We start from the raw sequence: 19,646 nt of genomic DNA on the forward strand, positions 1-19,646 counted from the left end.
GTCTAGGACAGACCCATGAGCTTGGGTGGGAGAGAAGAGCAATGCAGACGTGACTGTCCTGCCAGGCGGGGGCGCCGCCGCCAGACGCACGAAAACAACCAAATAAATCAGGCCCAGGAACTCCTAATCCTTCCCGGCTGTGGCTGCTACCGCTTGCCCCGCCGGCACCGCCCTGCCAAGGGCGCAGAGTCGGGCCAGCAGAGCCGGAGTGATGCCGGGCCATCGAGGCGTCCTCAGCCCCCGAGGTGGGAGGTGGTGGGGGGGCGGGGAGGAGAAGAAGAAGGCTCTCCCGACACGGTGACTCAGGCCTCCTTGACCCGCTCCTGGGTGGGCACGTTCCTGCGCCCCGGTCTATTTTTAGAGCCGGCTCTGGGCCTGAGCGCAGACTGAAGGGAAGGGGGGCCTCGTGGGGGGCGCAGGCGCCTGACCAGCTCCTCCAGCTCGGGGCTCAAGCCCCAGGCCCTCCAGCTGTCTACTTGGAAAAGGGTGGAAGCACATGGAGGGTGGGTGTCAGGGTGTGCGGCGCAGGCCCAGAGAATGCGCCCCCCTTCCCCACAAGGCCTGGCAGTTCCAGAGAACTGGGCGCGGCCTCCCAAATAACGACCTCTGTTAAGTGGGACCAGGAGCCTCCCGATGGTCGCTGTGTCTGCCCATTGGACCAGGGGCCAGGGCGGGCGGGGCTTTGGGCGACAGAACTGGCTAGGGTGGGAGAGGAGAGGAAGCTGCCAGGTTCTGGGGATCCCGACCCCACCCCGCCGACAGCCACGCCTCCAGCCCACTCTGGCCACGCCACTGGTCTGCCTTTGGACCACACTCATGGCCGGGTGCCTTCCCTGACTCCGCCCTAGGCCCTGCCTCCTATCTGGCTCCGCCCAGCCCTGGCCAACCTTAGAACCTGTCCCAAGGTCCAGAGAGGCCTAGATGAGGGGTAGCCTGCCTCTGAGAGGCATGGAGCCCTCCTCCCGCGTGGGGTCAGGGAATAGAAGGGCGTCGAGGGTGGCGGGTGAGGGAACGTTCCTGGCGCCGCGAACGGGAAGCCTCCAGGCTGCAGGACGTAGCTGCGGGGACCCGGCAGTCTGCGAGGCTGGAGTGGCCGAGGCCGCCCCGAGCATAGAAACAGCCCTGTATACGTGGGCACAGAAAGGCCCAGGGAGGCGCCTGGGCAGAAGTGTCTAGGACGATGCCTCTGCCACGGAGCCCTGGAGTGGGGGCAGCTGATGGCTCAAGACACATGAGCTCTGGTGGCGAGTACAGGGACGCGGGGTTTGGGGAGGCCCAAGTCAAGGTCCATCCTTCTGGGATGAGGGGCGGAGGATGGGAGGCGGAGCCCGGTCTCCAGGGCACCAGCCCTCCACCTAGCGGGAAGCTTGGGAATCGCGGAGTGCAGAGGTGGGGTGCGGAAAGGGTTCCACCGCGCCTGGGCTCCTTTTTCTCCTTGGAGGTCCCACTGGCGCCTACCCACCACCATCCTGCCCAGTCCGCTCCATCTCGGGGATTCGCCCCAGATAGAAAGGGGAGTCATTCTAACATCTATCTTCCCTTCTTCCCCCCATCTCCAGGTCCTATCCCCTTCCCTTCTTCCTTGCAGTTATCCCTGGGAGCTGCCTCTGCCGGTTCCAGTCCCTGGAACACCTGACAACTGCTCTTCCTGCCACCAGTTTTACCCTCTCCCCCATCCATTTTTCATAGCCATGTGGTGTTTCTTTTTTTCTTTTCTTTTTTTTTTGAGGCAGAGTCTTGCTCTGTGGCCCAGGCAGGAGTGCTGTGGCGCGATCTCGGCTCACTGCAAGCTCCGCCTCCCGGGCTCACGCCATTCTCCTGCCTCAGCCTTCCGAGTAGCTGGGACTACAGGCGCCCGCCACCACACCCGGCTAATTTTTTGTACATTTAGTAGAGACGGGGTTTCACCGTGTTAGCCAGGATGGTCTCAATCTCCTGACCTCATGATCCACCCGCCTCGGCCTCCCAAAGTGCTGGGATTACAGGCGTGAGCCACTGCGCCCAGCCGCCATGCGGTGTTTCTAAACAGGAATCTGGTTGTGTCACTTTCTTGATTAGAATCATTCAATAGCATCTTATGGTCCAAATAGACTCCAAACCTTGACTTGGGACTTGAGCTCTTCACCATCCAGCTCCACCTCCCTCAGCCCCAGTCCCTCTCTGGGGCTTTCTGTGTTCCACCCATACAGGAGAACTGTCAGCTCCTCATCCCTTTTCCAGGAACGCCCTCCCTGGCCTCATCCTTGCTGTCTTCAGGGCTTAGTCTGGCAGAGACTCCACTTCTTGGGAGGCCTTTCCTGAACCCCAGGTCTTAGTTAGGTGCCCCTTGTCTGACCTCCCACCACCCCCAGTATGTGCCTGCCTCTCTCAGAGCAGTCACTGCCTGGGTCTCTAATGACTTATTCACTCCCGTGGCAGGACAATTGATTGAGATATTAATTGCTTTGTTCTCCTGTAGTTTCCCCTCCCACTTGCAAGCTGGTAGCCAAGCCCTTTGATTTTTCTAGCCTCAGGGAACTGTGCAGGGCCAAACGCAAAAAGCTGCTTGAAGTCTGATGGCTTGTCCTGAGTTTGGAAAGAGCTAAACTTCTGGAAGCAGGCGTGCCATGTGTTCCCAAGGGATGGGGAGAAGAGGACAGAGAATTGAGAGGCAGAAGCTAGCTGCAGAGGGTGCAGAAGCTGGGGGTCCTTTGGGTGGTAGGGACCTGTGTCTAGCTCCCTTGACAGCTGATAGCTCCCTTGACAGGTGACAGGAGCTGTGGGGATGTGTGGTAACGCACCTGGGGTGGCTGGAGTGCAAACACTTGGGAACCAGCTTCAGTGCTCCAAAGTAGCAGGGGAACAGCTTAGTCACTGAGCCTCAAGGGACCATATGGACTACTAGGACAATGGACATCTCTGTGTGACCAATGTAGACTGAAGACAGGAGGCACCTCTTCTGTGCCCATGTGCAGGGAGGGCCAGCAGCTCCTTGCACTCGCCAGTGGGAAAGGTGGGAGGGAGCCTTCAGTGATGGTTGAGATTAAATTTTTTGCCAACTCATAGGAAAGCGTTTAGAGTGAGTCAGACTGGAGTTGGTTTAAAGTGAATACAGAAACAGGGTATTTCTTGTTTGTGTGCCAAGCTTCCTCCCTACTACACCTGTCTGTGTGTCTCTTAATACGCTGCAGAGCTGAGACTGTATGTGCCTCATTCAGAATTGTATCCTCAGCACCCAGCGTGGTACCTGGCATATATTGACTGCTCAAAATGTATCGGTTGAATTCGCTTTTCCTCCGTAGCTACAGAAATCCTTCTAAAACCCAAGTCTGCTTCCGTGGTTCCCCTCTGGCCCTCAGAATAAAATCCAAACCCCGATGATATCCCACAAAGCCACTGTGATCTCACCGCCCCGTATCCGCAGCCCATCCTCTCCAGCTGAACTGCACTATTTGCAATTCCCCAAACTTGCCAAGTTGTTTCATGCCTCGTGCCTTTGCTTATGAGGCACCCTCTGCCTGGAGTGCCCTTTCCCCTTTCTCTGCCTGCTGAGCTTTCAATTAGTCTTCAGAGCTCAGTGCAAGTGTTTCCTTGTCTTCCCTGACACCCTCTTCTGAAGGCAGAGGAAACTTCTCCTGCTCTGCAGCCTAATGCTCAGGCCCATGTCTGTCTCCTTCTTCCCCAAGCCTGGTTTCCTGGACTGTGGGCTTCTCTAGTAGAGTGAGTTCCCCATGCCCAACATGGTGCCAGGTACACCACAGGCTCTCAATAAATGCTCACTGTTCACTGGGCTTTAGCCTTGATCCTCCAAGGACTCATGGTGTGACCTCGAGCAACCTCTCCCTTCTGAGCCTCAGATTTCCTTTCTGCACAACGGGAGGAGTGGAACTGAATGTTCTCTAAGGGCCCTTTCTTCCCTCAGTTGAGCCTGGAAATGAGAGCATGTAAAACACAACTCACCTGTGTGCACGGCAGGCCAGCTAAGGGCAGAACATGCTCAGACACAGAGCTGCCCATAGCATCCATGCATGGCCACCTGGGAGCAAGCCCTTGCCCAGACAGCTGCACGTGACAATGTCACACAAAAGTGCATGTGGCCCTCTGGACGTGGATGTGCTGTCCTCCCAACCCCCATCCCCCATCAACCACTGGCCCTGACAGTGAAAAATTCAGCAGCAGTCAGGGATGCCAGTCTGGCAGTGAGTTAATATTCAAGGAAGGAGCCTTCTGCAATATGCATGCCCTGAGGCTGGTGTCCTATGGGGCTCTCCCCTTCCCAGGCCTGCACAGGCAAAGCCCTCCCCACCCCACCACAGGCACAGACACAGACAGTCTGCCTGCGGCAGGGCACTGAGAACTAGACCTTCAGCTCTAATTGCTTCCTGGACAGCCCCCTCCCAATGTCTCCTCATTCATTCATTCAGCAATATCTATGCAGTTCCTATCCTGTCCCAGCAACAGTATGAATGTATGACCCTGTTCTGCCCTCAGGGGCTCATAGTCCAGTGGGGGAGACAGACAATAAATAGGAAACAAGTGATATAAACTCAGATCAGGAGAAATGATACTGTGGAAAGGATTAGGTGATGTGATTTTTAAAAAATGACTTGGTGGGAGAAAGGGGTAGTCAAGGAAGGCATTTCTGAGGAGGTGGCATCTCATCAAAAGACAAGAGCCAGCACAGCAGACAGCCAGGGAAGAGACTTTCAAATTGAGGGCACAGCAAACACAAAGGCCCTGGGAAGGGAGAATCCATGAAATGTGTTTGAGGAGCAGAGAGGAGGCCATGGAGCTGCTCAGACAGTGACAGCAAGTGGCAGGACATTTGGACAGAGCAATGGGCAGGGACCAGAGCATGCCGAGCCTCCTGTGCCACAGTGAGAGCCTTTGTTTTAGTCAAAGAGCAATGGGAAGCCCCTGGAAACAGTATCCATCCCTTCCCCCAGCTCCTCCATCTTGGGAGCCTTCTTAGAGACTATGCCTTCCTCATCTTTACGTTGTCAGTGCCCATCCCAAGGCCCAGCATGGGGTTGACATCAGACACCATTTACTGATAAATAAATGACCAATCAAGTTCTCCTGGCTCAAGGCTTGATTCAATGGCTCAGAGTAGGTCAACAGGGCCAGATTAAGACATTTACATGCCATCCATTGGGAAGAGTCTGGCACTCCCATACATCATTCACAATAGAAATAATACTAATCCATGAAGCATACTTCTTTATGCACATGCTGGAATGAAAACCACTTCCTTTTGGATTTTCAATTGCAAAATTCTGGATTAGTTCATGGAAGCAGAACTTCTTCTTCTTCTTTTTTTTTTTTTTTTTTGGTTTGTTTTTTTGAGATGGAGTTTTGCTCTTATTGCCCAGGCTAGAGTGCAATGACGTGATCTCCGCCTCCTGGGTTCAAGCGATTCTTCTGCCTCAGCCTCCCAAGTAGCTGGGATTACAGGCACCCGCCACCACACCCAGCTAATTTTTGTATTTTTAGTAGAGACGGGGTTTCACCATATTGGCCAGGCTGGTCTCAAACTCCTGACCTCAGGTGATCCGACCGCCTCGGCCTCCCAACATGCTGGGATTACAGGCATGAGCCACCGCACCTGGCCTCAGAATTTCTTTCTGCTTATCTGTGTGTGCACGTGTTGTTACTGTCTTGCTGGCATCCTAAACTGAACTCAGTCCGCCCATTGATCACCCAGTGCTAGATGGCAGGGCTTGCCCAACCATCCCCTCAATGACATGGTCTTGGCTTCTGCACTCTGGATAACGAGGAGGACCAAGGGTGCCGTTGTGGCCCAGGCCTAATTGACAGCAAGCAGCCCTACAGGTAGGAAGAAGGCAGTAGCACTGTCAGCAGGTTTTGGGAGCTGCTCATTGTGAGAACTCTGGGAAATAACCCTCCTTGGACCATCAAGCTTGCTCCTGCCCATCCCTGACCCTCTAAAAACAGTACCAAGTGACCAAGGTCCAAGAGGTCTCTCAGAGGAGGTATCTAAGGCTCAGAGAGGTTACTTAACTTGTCCAAGGTCACTCAGCAAGTTGGAGATGGAGTTGCAGTTGGGACCCAAGCCTGGCCCCTGAAGCAGACTGGAGGCATTCCCTCCCTGGGTGAGCCGGGCTGGGGAAGAATGCTGAGGGGCCCCTATCTGGATCCACAGAACTGATGAGAACAAACTGGAAGTTGGACCCAGCCAAGCCTTTAAATGGGGTCTGCCCTTACCCCAGCCCCTCTTTCGCTACCCAGCTGAGCCCTAAACCTCTAAGCTCAATGCTCCCTCAGCCTCCTCTCTGGGTCCTAGAGATGGACCACATCTCAGGTCCCCCATGTGACTTCCACAGCATCACACAGACACAGAACTGGGCACCCAGGAAGGATCCAGAAGCCGAGTCTCAAATTTGCTCTCACTTCTCTCCCAGTGGCCTATGTCACAGGTGCTAGCCCTCCTTCACTCAGTCAACCCCCAACCACACCTGCTCTATGTATGGCCCCAGAAGGGAATTAGACTCAATGTGGGGGCCTGGGAGAAAAGTTGACCTCCCCTCCCCACTTCACTGACCTCCCCAGGGATGGCACTTAGGAAACTCAGACAAAGCAGCTCAGTGATTCTCAGGGGATTGGAAGCTGGGTGGTTGAGGGGAGCACCTCCACATGCAGGCCAGTTTTCCCAGGCCAAGTCCAGGCTGAGCTCTGCCTCTACTAGGCTGCACCCCACCCCACCCCCAGTGAGTGGGAAGTGACAAATGAGCCTGAGGAAGGAGGAGGGAGCTGGCGATCGATGGCATTAACATGGTGCCCAAATTAAATATTGACTTTCTTGGTTGACTCTAGGGACACTTGGATTGATGGCTGAGGCTTTGCCATGCCACCACAGGGGATAGGCACATAACAGCCTGGAGCAGGTCCATAGGGAAGCTGAGGCCTGGAGAGGAGGGGCTCACCTTTGCTTCCACCTGCTCAGGAGGAGTAGAAGTGAGGGCTTCAGGGAGCCCGGAGCACCGTGCCTGCTTCTCCACCTTCCCCATGGAGTCCAGAGTCCCATCCGTCCCGAAGGTCTTGGAGTCCAGGCCTTGTTGAGTGTCCCCCCAACCCCATTCCCACCTCCAGGAACTGTGGCTAACCTGAAGTGCAACAAATGAGCAGAATCAATCTCTGTGATGATAACCATTACTGGGTCTCAGGACCCGGCCTCCCAAGGCGGTAGGGCTGGTTATTTCTGATCATTATGTAGGATCTTGGAGAGGAGGTAGGGACAGCCTCTCTGTTCATGGAAATCTCCCATCATCCTCTCCAGCTAACTCACCTTCAGAGACTACAGTAAGCCCTGAGCTTTCTCTCCCTCTTTTCTCTTTTTTTTCACCTGTCCTGAACAAAGGGAGTCTCCCTCTTTTCAAAGCTCCACTTTAAGAACTGTCTCTAGTCCCTTGATTTATTCACCTCCCACCCTACTCTACAACCCACCTCAGTGCTGGTTCCTCCCATAGTAATGACTCCAGCCCAGCCCCTCATTCTGAGTTCCAGCCCTGTGTGTTCAACTACCTACTTTCCACTTGACATCTCCCCTTGACCATCTCAAAGTTGACATGCCTGCTATGGTTTGAATGTGTCCCCCAAAAAGCATGTGTTGGAAACTTAATCCCCAGTGCAACAGTGTTGGGAGATGGGGTCAATGGGGGGTGTGTGTTTAGATCATGAGGGCACCGCCCTCATGAATGGATTAACACTGATTATAAAAGAGCTTGAGTCTTTGAATTCAATCTCTTGCTCTCTCTCTCACCCTTCTGCCTTCTGCCATAAGATGATGCAGCAAAAAAGACCTTGCCAGATGACAGCCCCACAACCTTGGACTTCCCAGCCTCCAGAACTGCAATGAATGAATCTCTGTTCTTTATAAATGACCCAGTCTCAGGTATTGTTATAGCAGCACAAAATGGACTAAGACAATGCCCAAGGCCAAATTAATGACTGTCTCCCCCAAAGCTGGTCCTCTTCCTGTACCTCTATGCCAATGACACGGTCATCCATCCAGGTGTGTAAGACAGAAGCCCAGGTGTCATCCTTGGCTCCTCTCTGATACCCAATCCACACCAGGAGCTGAGTGCTGACAATTCTACCCACTACATATATAGAAACTCCATTCCTCCTCCATAGCACCCTCTAAAGTCTCCTTCATGCAGATCATCTCCTTGCTGGTCTCTCTCTCCACCCTCACTCTTCAGTGTCCCTGCCCCCACCAATCCATTTTCCATCCACTCAAGAGAAATCGTGTTGATATAGAAATCTGATCATGCCAGTACTCTGCTCAACACTCTTCCTTAGCTTCCCACTCTCCTTAAAGGCCAAAACCCTCAGTGGAGTCTCCTCTGCCTTAGACACTTAGCATGTGTTTTGAGGGCCTGAGAGGGTGGAAGTCTTCCCAGAGTCAGTGGCCTTGGAGGAGTGGAGGGAGGAATATGATGGGTACTGGGGACTGGATTAGAAAAGCCCCAACTGGGGGACCCCATGAGGTGCCAGGGTGGGCATGAAGAAGCCTGAAGGGAAATGAGTCCTGAGAAGCAGAAGTCAGCAGCATCCCGCACCCAGGTCCTCCCTCAGGCCACCTAATTTCCTTTTAATTGGTGCCTAATGGAAGTGATTTAAGCCCAATTAAGTTTTAACGTGTCTGTTCCAGTCTAGCCTCAACTTGCTTCCCTTCTCCCAGAGTCTAGGGCTGCAGGGGTAAGGGTAAGGGTGAGGGTAAGGGTGACCCCTTCCCCTAGTGCTGCTGAGGGAGGCCTGATACCAGTCCACAGGTCTCCTCAGGACCTTCCCCTACTTCCCCAACACCTCCTCCCTACCCACCAGTATCCCCAGGATATGTGGAGCCCAGGAACCCTGGCTTTGGACCTCCCTTGTGCGGGCACTGTGCTGGCAACTTTCCCTCCATCACCTCCTCAAGCCCTCTCCATGGCCCCATGAGGCAGGCTGTGCGGAAGTACCTCCTTTTCACAGAGGGCACTGAGTTCACTTGCTCAAGGTCACTGCCTTTGTTCTGCCTAGAGCTGTGCTGTCCGACATGGTAGCCTCACGGGAGTACTGAGCAGTCAGAAGGTGGTGAGACTGACTTGAGATGCACTGTAGCACTGTATGTATAAAACACACACGAGATTTCCAAGACTCCGTATAAAAAAAGAATGTTAAATATCTCAGTCATTTTTTATATTGATTATATGTTGAAATGATCGTTTTTTAATATATTGAATGAGATATATTATTAAAATGAATTTCACCTTTTCAAACTTTTAAAGAATGGTTACTAGAAAATTCTAAATTACATATGTCGTTTACATTGTATTTTTATTAGACATCTCCCAGGGTCTGTTCTCATGAAGGTAGGGATGGTCTGCTCATCCTTGACCCTGCCAGTCTGGAAAGCAAGAAAAGGCTGCAGCTGAGCTTGTGCGGGCGGGCCTCTCAGTCTTGTCTCCTCATCCTTTGGGTGAAGACAAGTCCCTTTCAGCACCCTGGACAGCAGCCAGGGCTGGCTTCCCACTTGGGGTTGAGGAAGGAATAACTGTGGGAGGAGTAGATTAACACCTATAAAATGCTTCCCATGAATCATCTTAAGTCATGCTCCGGATATCCAGTGAGGAAGACTGGGTAGGAGTTGTCATTATCCCAATTTTGCAGATGAGGAAATCAATGTTCAGGGAGATTTGTGTATTCCACCCTTCACCCGCTAAAGATTCACTGATGCCTGCTTCATGTGGGCCTCTGAGTGCACAAACCACAGCAAGGCCAACACAGATGACAGCAGTTCTGTGTGATCAGTGCAGTAGTGACAGTGCATGCCAAGGCCTGTGGGGGCCCAGCGAGTGCTGACTGCTGGGCCAGGGAGTTCAGGGACAGCATCACACAGGGGGCTACTTGGGCTGGGTCTGGAAGGCTGAAGGAGAGTTTCCCCTCTGTGAGGAGGAGGGAGTTTCAGGCAGAAGGAGTGGTGCATGCACAGGCATGGAGGTCAGAGAGATGGGCCAGAGGAGGGAGGCAAGGGCCACATCACCAAGGGCCTTGAACTCTAGGCTAATTCCAGGATCCACAGAAGGCATCTGAGCAGTGGCCTGGCCAGATCTGCATTTTGGAAAGATCACTTGGGCCATGTGGATGAAGGGCTGGAGACTGGAGGCAGAGAAAATGAGGGCAATGATGTGAGAAATTTGAGTCCAGGAAAGAAATGACAGGTTGTTAGATATTAGCTCAAATGGAAGGGAGATCGAGCCAACTCATTTTACAGATAGGGAAACCCATGTCAGACAGGGTCCAGTGGCCTGTCCAAGGTCACGCAGCAAGTCAGTGCCTGGGGGAGCAGGGACTGAGGGCAAGGGAGGGACAAAGCCCCCACCCCAGGAAAGCTAAGTGGCTGGTCTCAAAGCCAGCAGAGGCCTCTGCAGGTAGCTGTGGTTTGTGTTTGAGCAGAATCAACAAGGTAAATACTAAACTTCCTCTTCAACCAGATGCAAAGCAAGAATGGACAGGAGGGCAGGGACGTGCACATCACACCTCAGCCCCAGAGGGCCCCAGAGGTGGTGACCAGCGGAGCCTAAGACCAGGAAGGAGGGAGGTGCGAGCACAGGACAAGGCATTAAGAGGGCCTTTAGGTGATGGTCAGAGGAAGGAATGTGGAGTAGGATCTGCTGGTACATGGTCGGGCTTTGTTTGTGCAAACCCCCTTTTAGGAACAGGCCCCCCTTTCTCAGAGACCTGCTCCCTCTCCTCCCTCTCCCTCTCCCCCATGGTTCCTGATGGGACTGCCAATCACAGTGCCCCAGCCTCCTTCCTGGGGCCAGCCAGAGCTCTTCCTTCCTTGGGGGTTTTCTAATTGGAATTCAAGAGAGAAAGTTTCTTCCCCTCTAGGGGCAATGCTGAGTGATCGAGCTGGGAGGAGGAAGCCTGGCAGGCCCAGGGGGAAGAGGCCTTAAAGAATGAAGCCGACACACATTCGAGAGAATGCCAGGAGAGGATGAAACATGCGGTGGCACTCCTGATCCCGGGTCCCATCACGAAGGCCAGCCGCACTTGCCCACTGCTGTCCTTGCGGCAGCGCGCTCCTGGGTGAACAAAGCTCCCAGGTGCCTAAGCTGGCTGGTATCGGATTCTGCCACTCCCAGCCACAAGTCCCAGTCACAAGCTGAGCTGTGGGAGCTTGGGAAAGTCATGTCCCCTCTCCAAGCCTCGATTTACTCATCTCCAAAATGGGGCAGTCACAATACCTACCTTGAAGAATCAAATGAGGTAGTGCTTGAGTGAACTCTGTGTACACTTAAGTGCTGGGGCTGCCCGAAGGGAGGGAGGCGGAGGAGTGAGTCGCAGGAGCTCCAAGGGTCTAGAAGCACAGTCCTGAGTGGACTCTGCCCGCACGGCTCCTCTGACCAGGTCTCACAGCAGGCAGGATTGGAATGAGACCAGAGCAAGCCTGTGCCATCAAGGCCTGCAAAACTCTGAAGAGGCCTCCGCCCCTCCTCCAGCACCCCTGGGCAGGCCATTATCTGTGATACCCCCTACCCCAGCAGCCAGTCACTTCTGTCACTCCCACCCAGGCTGCTGCAGCACCTAACCCTCCCTCAGCTCTCCAGGGACCTGTCTGTGTCTCCGAGTCCCTGGGAAGGGGCCCAGAGGTGCCCATGTTGCTAAATGACCAGGCAAGAAGGACCTGTGACCCTGCTAACCGTGCCTCTGCTCCAGCTGCTGCCTGACTCCAGAATATGTTTCCAGATGTAATCCTGTGCCCCCTCTTTCTGGGGGCCTGAAAACTGAGCAAGGATCCGCTCACTCAGGCATGTAATGAATGCAACTCAGTACAAGCCTCCAGCCCCTGGCACCAAGCCAGCCTGGCTCCCACACCCCACCCCAGCCCTGGCCCGGTCCAACACCTGCATCTCCACCACAACCCAGCATCTGCGGCTCCCCTGCAGCCATGGTCAAGTTCCAGGAAGCTGAGCTGAAGCCCCACCTCCATCAAGCGTGGGTTTGAAGTCCCAGCTCTGCCTCTGACTGTGGCCTTGAGCCGGGCACTGCCCATCTCTGGCCTCATTTTCCTATCCACAAAATGGGCAACCTAAAACCTTCCAACAGGGTTGTTGTGAGGGGCCAGGGGATATGTGTGTGAAGCTCCTAGCTTAGAGCACTGCATGAGACTGGTGCCACATGGTCACAGCTAACCCTTCAAGAGCTTATCCTGTCCCAGGTATTTGCTGAACACTTTACAAATAGGAATTTGTTTCATCCCTGTAACAACCCTGTGAGGTGGGCACTGTTACCATCCCCATTTCACAGATGTGAAACCAAGGTCACTAAGCTCTGTCTTGGCTCTAGCCCAGGAAGTCTGGCCTCTGTGCCCCAGTGAATGGCAGCCACGACCATCACAGCCACCAGGAAAAGCCAGCCATAAGAGGTCCCCTCCCACACTCCCAATCTGCTTCCCACAGCCCAGATCGGGGAAAGGATGAATCACCCAGAGAGTCAGGGACAAAGATGGGGTCAGAGCCTAGGCCGCCCCCTCCCAGGCAGGGCTGGACTGACCCCATCACATCATCTGATGAGATCAAGTGAGTTCAACCCAGGAGACAGAAACAAAGTCGGGGTCCCAGAGCTGGGCCTTTACCTGAGGGAAGCAAACAGCTCAGCAGCAAAATCCACAGAGTGAAGTTTATTCCCAACAAAGTTCCCCTCCCCCCTCCCCAGCCCGGGACAGGGACGGACAGGCTGGGCTGAAGATGGGGTTCCAGTGGCTGAGGGGCCTCTGAGAAACAAGGAAGGGCCCTGGGACCCCAGGCCAAGCCATGTCCGGCTCCCCCAGCCTGGCTGAGTCCACGGCGCCTCCCTGCCCAGCCCTCGGGAGAGGGGAGAGGGCGCTGGCTCCTGGGTAGTTCCAAAGTGGAGTGTGAAAATAGAGAGATATATATATTTATATGCAGTGGGCAGTCCAGCGTGGCACTCACACCTCTGTCTGGAAGTCACCATCCGGTGGTTCTGTGGGCTCCCAGGCTGCTGCCCGGTGCAGAGTCAGCCGTTCTCGGGGCTTGGGGGGCAGCGAGCCCAGTGTCATAGATTTGAAGGTGCTCCAGCTCTGATGGCGCCGATGTTGGGACAAGCTGGGGCGCTCCCCAGGGCTGGGCTTATCCTGTGGAGGGAGCGGGAGGGGCCGTGGAGATGGGCCAATATCCTTACCCATTGTACAGACGATCAAACTGAGGAGTCCCAGAGAGGGCTGGTAATGCCCAAAGTTATGGAGCAATCAGGTGTCAAGCAGAATTCAAATACAGACCTGCCTGGTTCCAGGGTGGGGCTCCTGACCCCTGTTCTCAGTGGCCCCCAGGACATGTCTCCTGCTGACCACTCTCCCTCCCAATCCTGGAGGACCTCCACCCCTGTTCGCCATCTGCAGCACCTTCCCCACCCCCAGGCGGCCCCAGACTGTTGCCCATGCCGTGGGGGAGGCCCTTGGTGAGACAGGCTGGGGTTGCCTGGGAGGGGCAGGAGGGCAGGGAGGGCACGGGTCCCTCAGGCCCACCTCACCCCACCCAGCCCGGGGGGACTCACGGTGCACACGCTCCGCTCGGCTGCCCCACCCGAGGACACACTCCACCGCTTCTCCCTCTGCAACGGGGGCCACCGGTCAGGCTCCAACCCCAGGGGCCACTGCACCAGGTCAGGCCCTGAGCTTCAGGGCAGGGGCAGCCACGGGAGGAGCCCTCACCTTGGCCGTGGACTGGCTGCGGTAGCGGTCGAAAGTGTGGAACTTCTGGTTGAGCTCGTGGTAGAGTTCTGAATGCCGTTTCCGGGTGTGCATCACCTTCTAGGGGCCACAGGGCATCAGAGGGTCGCTCCCCGGGGCAGCACCATGATCCCCCCTACCCAGGGCACTCAGCACCCCAAGCCCCCCACATCCCTCCCTGCTGCCAGCCCCTCTGGGACAAGACCTAGTTCTCTCTTCACGTTGGTGCTATGGGCTTGGGCAGGGAGGGAATCATGGGAAGATCCCACGGAACCCCCGGGCTTGGGCTCCTGGGGTCAGGCTCTGCAACAGAGCTTGGACTACTTTTAGGAGTGAGCCCTCCAGGGACAGACACCACAGCCAGATGTCCCACCGCCCAGCACACACATGGCCCTTACCTCAAAGTCCAGGTCTGAATACCGTAATTTCTTTCGCTGGGAAGGAGCAACAAGGAGGCAATGGAGGAGAAGAAAGCTTTTTACCACCGGCAGGGGCTTTAGAGACAGGAAGCCTGGCATCCCAGGGGTCTGCCCGCTGCACCTTCCCCCCAACCCAGGCCCAGAAGTTGCGGACCTTCATGGGGCAGCTTTTCAGGCCTCACTGAACACACACACACACACACACACACACACACACACACACACACACGTCAAATGGCATGGTGCGGACTTCCAACATGACAGGCCCAGATGCCCACATGGAATCAGAGCCAGTGCTCATTCTCTGTGCCCTAGAGCCCACCCTGCATCCTTCCCCATCTTGCCCCATTCTCTCTGCCAGCCATAGCTACCCCTCCCCTTGGAACCTTCCACTTGTCCTGCAAACACAGGTATTCAGGCTTTCAGAAACCTTCCTTTGACCTCACACTGCCCCTTTTCCTGCCAAACCAGGCGCTGCCTCCCTGGCCTCTCTGCTCCCTCATGCCTCTCCTGGCCCTCCTTGTCCCAGACCACTTTCAAGGCCCCAGTAAGCTGTACTGTACCCAGTGCTACTCAAGAAAGAGGCCTGAGAGTCTTAAAATGTCAGCACAGGGAGACCCATGAAGCCAAGGCCAACTTTCCCAGGTTACAGATAGGGAAACTGAGACCCAGGGAGGTGAAGGGAATTGCTCCCAGGCCTTCGAAGGTGATACTAGGACCACCATCTGGATCTCCCAGGCCTGTGGGCATGCTCACCACCATGGGCCCATGGCATTCACTCTCCTGGTTTTCCTCTCCTCTCCCTACCTGCTTTCTCTCCGCTGCCTACCCTGGCTTCTGTAATACTAGGCACTCACACTCTGCCCCGGCACCTTCTCCTGCCTTTACCACACACACGTGTATCCTCCCCAACCCAGCCACATCTCTCTTTCTGGGGGCAACAGGGCACCTCTCCCTGTCTGATGCCCCACAGGCACTGCACATGCAGCTCACACCAATGGAATACACTTGTAATTCCCTACCCAGACCTGTTCCTCCGCCCATCACGGTTGCCCACGCCCGAATTCTGGATGTCATCCTTGACCCCTCAAAGCGCTGCTGCATTTACTACTGCCTCCCACACAAGGAGCCTGATGTCCGCCCTCAACAGTGGCCGGCAGGCAGGTGTCCACAGAACAAAACCCGCCATGACGCCAAGCGCGCCCTTCTCCGACACTGGCGTTGCATTTTGTCTTTGTTACGCCTTCCTGTTTTTGCCATCTGTGGCAGAAGCAGGCACCAAATGTTCCAGAAACACTTTGGGAGAAAAACTAAACTTGTGAGCCCCGTAGCTACTAACTTAATTTTCGTCTTGTGGCGGATGGGGAGTGGGTTTCTGAGGCCGAGCAGGAACAGCCAATTGTGGCTAAGCCACGACTCCTGTCCCTTTCCTTAACCACATCCCCTTCATGACTCCAATAAAGTTGCAGAATGTTCTAGAGTTCCACAGCAGGCCACTACTGTCTGTTCTCAGTGATCCTCTGCAGGGAGCAGACCTGAGGAGGCCAGCGTGAAGGTGAAGGATTCACAGAACACACACAGGCAGGGACCCGGAGGGGTTTGCTTTTCTCCGGAAGAGAGGGTCAGTTACCACAGGCCTGTGGGCAGCATCTGCAGCTGATTTCAGGGGTGCTAACAGCAGCAATCCCCAATTATCTAGCACTTTCTACTTGCTCCACATAAATGTTTTACATCACTCAATCCTCAAAACGACTCCACAAAGAGACTGCTACGGTATCCCCACTTTACACACGAGAAAATGAAGGCTCACTGATCTCACTGCCAATCAGAGTCCAGACTGGAACTCAGACCTGCATGACGCAGAGGCCCAGGCTCACACATTGCCTGAGCCACAGTCTCCTGAAATGAGGACTCATCCTAACCAGTCACCCCAAAGTAGGCCCTAAAGCAAGTGTGAACGAGTCGAGAAGTACAATTCTACTGTGTGAAGTCCCAGCCTGTCTGAAGGATTCACAGACACCACGGAGCTGCCATGAGCAGAAACAGAGAAATGCTCAGTGTATCCACTCCCAGTGACTTTTACGAGAGGCCGCTCTGGGGAGGATGAGGCTGTCCCCTCCTGGCTGCAGCCTGTGATTGACACAGTCTCAGACACACACCCCATTCCCTACAGCCCCTCACCTCCAGGGAGCCCATCTTCATGGTAGAGCCGGGCACGGTGCGAGGCATGGTCCGGCTGCGCTCCCCTGGCTCGGGCACTTGGCGGGCGCTGGGTGTCGGCGGTGGCGGTTGGAAGGTCATTCCATAGGGATTCTGGAGAGATCCATAGGCAGGGCCCAGCCCCAGGCCCGAGTGGTCCACGGACAGGAAGCTGGGGTAGCCTTCAGTGTGGGCCACTGTCTTGGCAGCTCGCCGGGGGGTCCCCTCCGGCCGGGCCCTGGGGGCATCCTCACCACCTCCACCCCCACCGCCAGGCTGCAGGCTCAAAGTCCGCCGGGGCAGCACCATGTAGTCTCCCTCAGAGCCTGGCTCAGTGGGCCGCAGCCATGTGAGGTCCAGCTGCCGCAGGCCACCCTCCCCACACATGTAAACAGGGTTGGCCTCCTGTGGGGGCGGAGGCTCCCCCAGCCCTGGTGAGGCTGCCATGGGCACCAGGATATTCCCAGGCAGTGGTGAGAAGCTGAGGCTGCCCTCAGGGCCCACGAGGCAGGACTTGGGCTCCTCATCCTCATCCAGGGACAGGCGGGATAGTGTGCCCGTGATGGTGGACGGGTTGCAAGTGTTGACCTCCTTGAACAGCACTGGGGGCAGGAGTGGGAGGGAGGGGGTGAGTCCTGAGGAGAAGGAACCTCCAGATGCCATTGCCCAGGCTGGGGAGGTACCAAGCTTCTGCGCTTGGACAGGAAAGGAAACTGGGTCCTGGAGAGATGGCTGGGTGGTTGGTAATCTCTCACATATAAGAGGGGTTAAGAAGACAACGGCTCCAAAGTCCCCACATTGAGACAGGGCAAGAAACAAAGGCAAGGCCCAGCTCCCAGTGTCCTGGTGCAGGTCCCGACTTTGACCCCACAGCCCCACGGCTGTCAAAGGGCTTTGTCTTCCCACCTCCCTGTGCATCAGCTCCCCAGGAGACAGAAATGGAAAGATTCTGGTAAGAATCTGGAAATGATATAATAACGTAACACTCTGTGCCATGGGTCCTGCTAAGAACTCGATGTCCCCGAATTCATGCATGCCCCTAAGCCCCCCACCTGCCCTGGGAGGACAGTATTCTCTCCTTTACAGGTGTGTTAACTGAGGCTTAGAGAGGCAGGTTGTTTGCCCAGGGTCATACAGTAAGGGACATTCGCAGCCTTGCGTCCAGCTCAGGGCTGTCTAACTTCGAAGCTGGACTCCAGCAGCCAGAACTCCATCAGGGCCTCCCATGATGGGGCTCAAGGCCTCCCCTTCTTCTCCAACCCCAGGACCATTCTCAGTTCTGCCACGGCACACTCACCTGTTTGACAAGCCAGATCCACATCCTTTTCAAAGTCTGACTATAGGCAGAAAGGGAGGGGCAGGTGGGCAGAGGGAGGATTAATGTATCAGGGTGGGAGGAGGCTCAGGCCCTCCCCAGCCAGCTTTGCCCAGTCTGCCTGCCTTAGGGCTGCCCATGGCCCATAGCCCATGGCCCAGCAGAGCCCAGGCATGGCCTACCCCAGCCCACCTGATGGCTAGGAAAACTGAGTGGGGGAAGGACTTGCCCAATGCCACCCAGGTGTTAGTGGCTGAGCCTGAATCAAACCCAATCCCTGTCCCAACCCTGCCATGGATGGGGAAGGTAAATGGTCTAGGGCAGGAGGATTGGGGTGGGGGGTGCCCAGAATCTGCCCAGGCCCTGCCCAGGCCCCTAACTCACCAGGATCTGCAGCTGCCCGTTCTTACACGAGTCAGGGGAGTCTTCGCTCTCATCAGCCCGGCACACCCCCATCTGGCACTTCACCACATCCTGGACCTGGGGACAGAGGGCGCCTGCTGGGCCTGAGGCCACTGCAGGGCCCCCGACCACAGATGGCTGTGCTTCCCACCCCAGATGCCCAGGCAAGTGTAGAAGGAAGGCAACACATCCAACCTTGGGGAAGGTGATGACACCTGGGCAGGGTGCAACGGGAGGAGGAGACCCAGGAGGCCAAGGATAAGCATAAGGGACAGTTGCGGGTACCCCGGGCTATCAGCTTCCACAGTAAGGGCTGCCCAGATGGGGCCTGGGGCACCCTGGTCGGGGCCTCGATCCTCCCGGTCTGCACAGTGAGGAGAAGCCAAGGGCCTGGCAGGTGTGGTGGGCACACACAGGCGGGAGAGGCCCAGCCCCACCTCTCGGCGCAGGAAGCAGTGCACAGCAGTGATGACAAAGCCCTGCGCGGAGTTGAAGACAGCAAAGAGGGCCTGGAAGAGGACGGAACGGCGGTCTGTCATAGCCAGGACGGCAGACATCCAGGTGAGCGCCAGCAGGGGCAGCACCACGCAGGAGCTCCAGAGTGAGGCCCTGAGGGGACAGTGGCAGAGCCCATCAGAGTGACACTCCGGGGGACAGGATGGCTTGAGCCTAGGCCTCCACTCAGCTGGAGCTCTTCAGCTGCCCAAGACTGGGAGGGCCCCAAACCCCAGGGCCTCAGTAATGTCCCCAAGCAGAGAGGGGCTGAGGAGCCAGAGCCAGAGAAACAGAACAGAGACCGAAAGCAGCGAACTACGGGGTCAGAGCAGGGACCAGGAAGGTGGGGAAGGACACGCAGACACAGTGGGACCGAGCCACAGACAGTGGAAAGGGACGGGGAGAGAGAAGAGGAGGCAGACAGATGCACAGAATCACCTGAGGAGCTTTTTAAAAATGCACGGGGCCGGGACGGCATCCCCAGAGCCTAACTGGGTAGGCTGGGGAGGGGGACTGGAAGAGGGACAAAGCAACAACAACCACAGTGAGAGAACGCATGCGACAGAGACACCCAGACAGAAAGATTAAACAGGCAGAGCACGCGGGGGACATCCAGAGCACGAATCCTCAGGGAGAAGACAGGGGGCCAGGACCAGTGAAGCAGAACTCCCCCCACACACAGAGAAGACGCCAGGCTCCCACGGACTGCTCAGAGCCTTGGGCAGAAGGCTCAGAGCTGGGGCTAAAAGCTGGGGTCGGGCCAGGCCTACACCTCCCTGGCCTCCCTGCCAGGGGAGGGCAGAAAAAAAGCAGATGGGGCCTGGCATCCAAGCCATTCCCACCCCTCCCTAACCTGCTATAGCACATGAGGGACAGCCAGGCCACCATACCCTCCCGGGCCAGGTGCCACACTCAGCCCACTCTCCTTCGCAAACACCCCCAGTGGGAGAGTCAGGCACAGCTCTAGGCATGGCAGAGGGTGGCACCATTCCGCAGAGACAGCCGGGGGAGGCCAAAGCAGAGAGATGGGCAGGGGGCCAAGACCTGCCCTAGGAAGTGCAGTTCAGGGCTGTTCAGCCTG

General features: G+C 56.0%; 1 protein-coding gene across 31 annotated transcripts in view, besides 7 other annotated features; it reads right to left on the bottom strand.

The window, feature by feature from the left end:
• Positions 704-998: an enhancer, noted in NCBI's record as "tiled region #11964; HepG2 Activating DNase unmatched - State 1:Tss, and K562 Activating DNase matched - State 4:PromP". NCBI's record gives its function as "activates a minimal TATA promoter and a strong SV40 promoter by Sharpr-MPRA in HepG2 cells, with weaker activity in K562 cells {active_cell/tissue: HepG2 | K562}" and the evidence as "EXISTENCE:reporter gene assay evidence [ECO:0000049][PMID:27701403]".
• Positions 704-1,455: a biological region, named in NCBI's record as "Sharpr-MPRA regulatory region 11964".
• Positions 858-1,455: an enhancer, noted in NCBI's record as "H3K4me1 hESC enhancer chr1:32180923-32181520 (GRCh37/hg19 assembly coordinates)". NCBI's record gives its function as "activates a minimal SCP1, AML or CMV promoter by ChIP-STARR-seq in primed H9 embryonic stem cells {active_cell/tissue: H9 hESC(primed)}" and the evidence as "EXISTENCE:reporter gene assay evidence [ECO:0000049][PMID:30033119]".
• Positions 1,278-1,387: an enhancer, noted in NCBI's record as "active region_650". NCBI's record gives its function as "activates an Ori minimal core promoter by ATAC-STARR-seq in GM12878 lymphoblastoid cells {active_cell/tissue: GM12878}" and the evidence as "EXISTENCE:reporter gene assay evidence [ECO:0000049][PMID:35858748]".
• Positions 1,456-2,051: an enhancer, noted in NCBI's record as "H3K4me1 hESC enhancer chr1:32181521-32182116 (GRCh37/hg19 assembly coordinates)". NCBI's record gives its function as "activates a minimal SCP1, AML or CMV promoter by ChIP-STARR-seq in primed H9 embryonic stem cells {active_cell/tissue: H9 hESC(primed)}" and the evidence as "EXISTENCE:reporter gene assay evidence [ECO:0000049][PMID:30033119]".
• Positions 9,344-9,845: an enhancer, noted in NCBI's record as "H3K4me1 hESC enhancer chr1:32189409-32189910 (GRCh37/hg19 assembly coordinates)". NCBI's record gives its function as "activates a minimal SCP1, AML or CMV promoter by ChIP-STARR-seq in primed H9 embryonic stem cells {active_cell/tissue: H9 hESC(primed)}" and the evidence as "EXISTENCE:reporter gene assay evidence [ECO:0000049][PMID:30033119]".
• Positions 9,391-9,591: a silencer, noted in NCBI's record as "peak161 fragment used in MPRA reporter construct". NCBI's record gives its function as "represses an SCP1 promoter by STARR-seq MPRAs in K562 erythroleukemia cells {active_cell/tissue: K562}" and the evidence as "EXISTENCE:reporter gene assay evidence [ECO:0000049][PMID:32103011]".
• The window catches only part of ADGRB2 (adhesion G protein-coupled receptor B2), a 37,224-nt gene continuing 30,230 nt past the window's right edge, over positions 12,653-19,646 (bottom strand). For 13 of the 31 annotated variants that reach the window (XM_011541858.3, XM_047426186.1, XM_047426180.1 and 10 more), the window contains 8 exons: positions 18,508-18,679; positions 18,053-18,148; positions 17,651-17,690; positions 16,336-16,955; positions 14,134-14,169; positions 13,718-13,816; positions 13,561-13,617; positions 12,653-13,141 (listed from right to left, as the gene is read on the bottom strand). In XM_011541858.3, the coding sequence (XP_011540160.1) occupies positions 12,956-13,141; positions 13,561-13,617; positions 13,718-13,816; positions 14,134-14,169; positions 16,336-16,955; positions 17,651-17,690; positions 18,053-18,148; positions 18,508-18,679 (1,306 nt within the window). In that variant the 3' untranslated portion in view covers positions 12,653-12,955. The remainder of the gene's footprint in view (positions 13,142-13,560; positions 13,618-13,717; positions 13,817-14,133; positions 14,170-16,335; positions 16,956-17,650; positions 17,691-18,052; positions 18,149-18,507; positions 18,680-19,646) is intronic. The other 18 variants (XM_047426188.1, XM_047426184.1, XM_017001909.2 and 15 more) reach the window with 3 other exon arrangements.

The sequence above is a fragment of the Homo sapiens genome, chromosome 1 (assembly GCF_000001405.40).
Source record: "Homo sapiens chromosome 1, GRCh38.p14 Primary Assembly".
Lineage (NCBI taxonomy): Eukaryota > Metazoa > Chordata > Mammalia > Primates > Hominidae > Homo > Homo sapiens.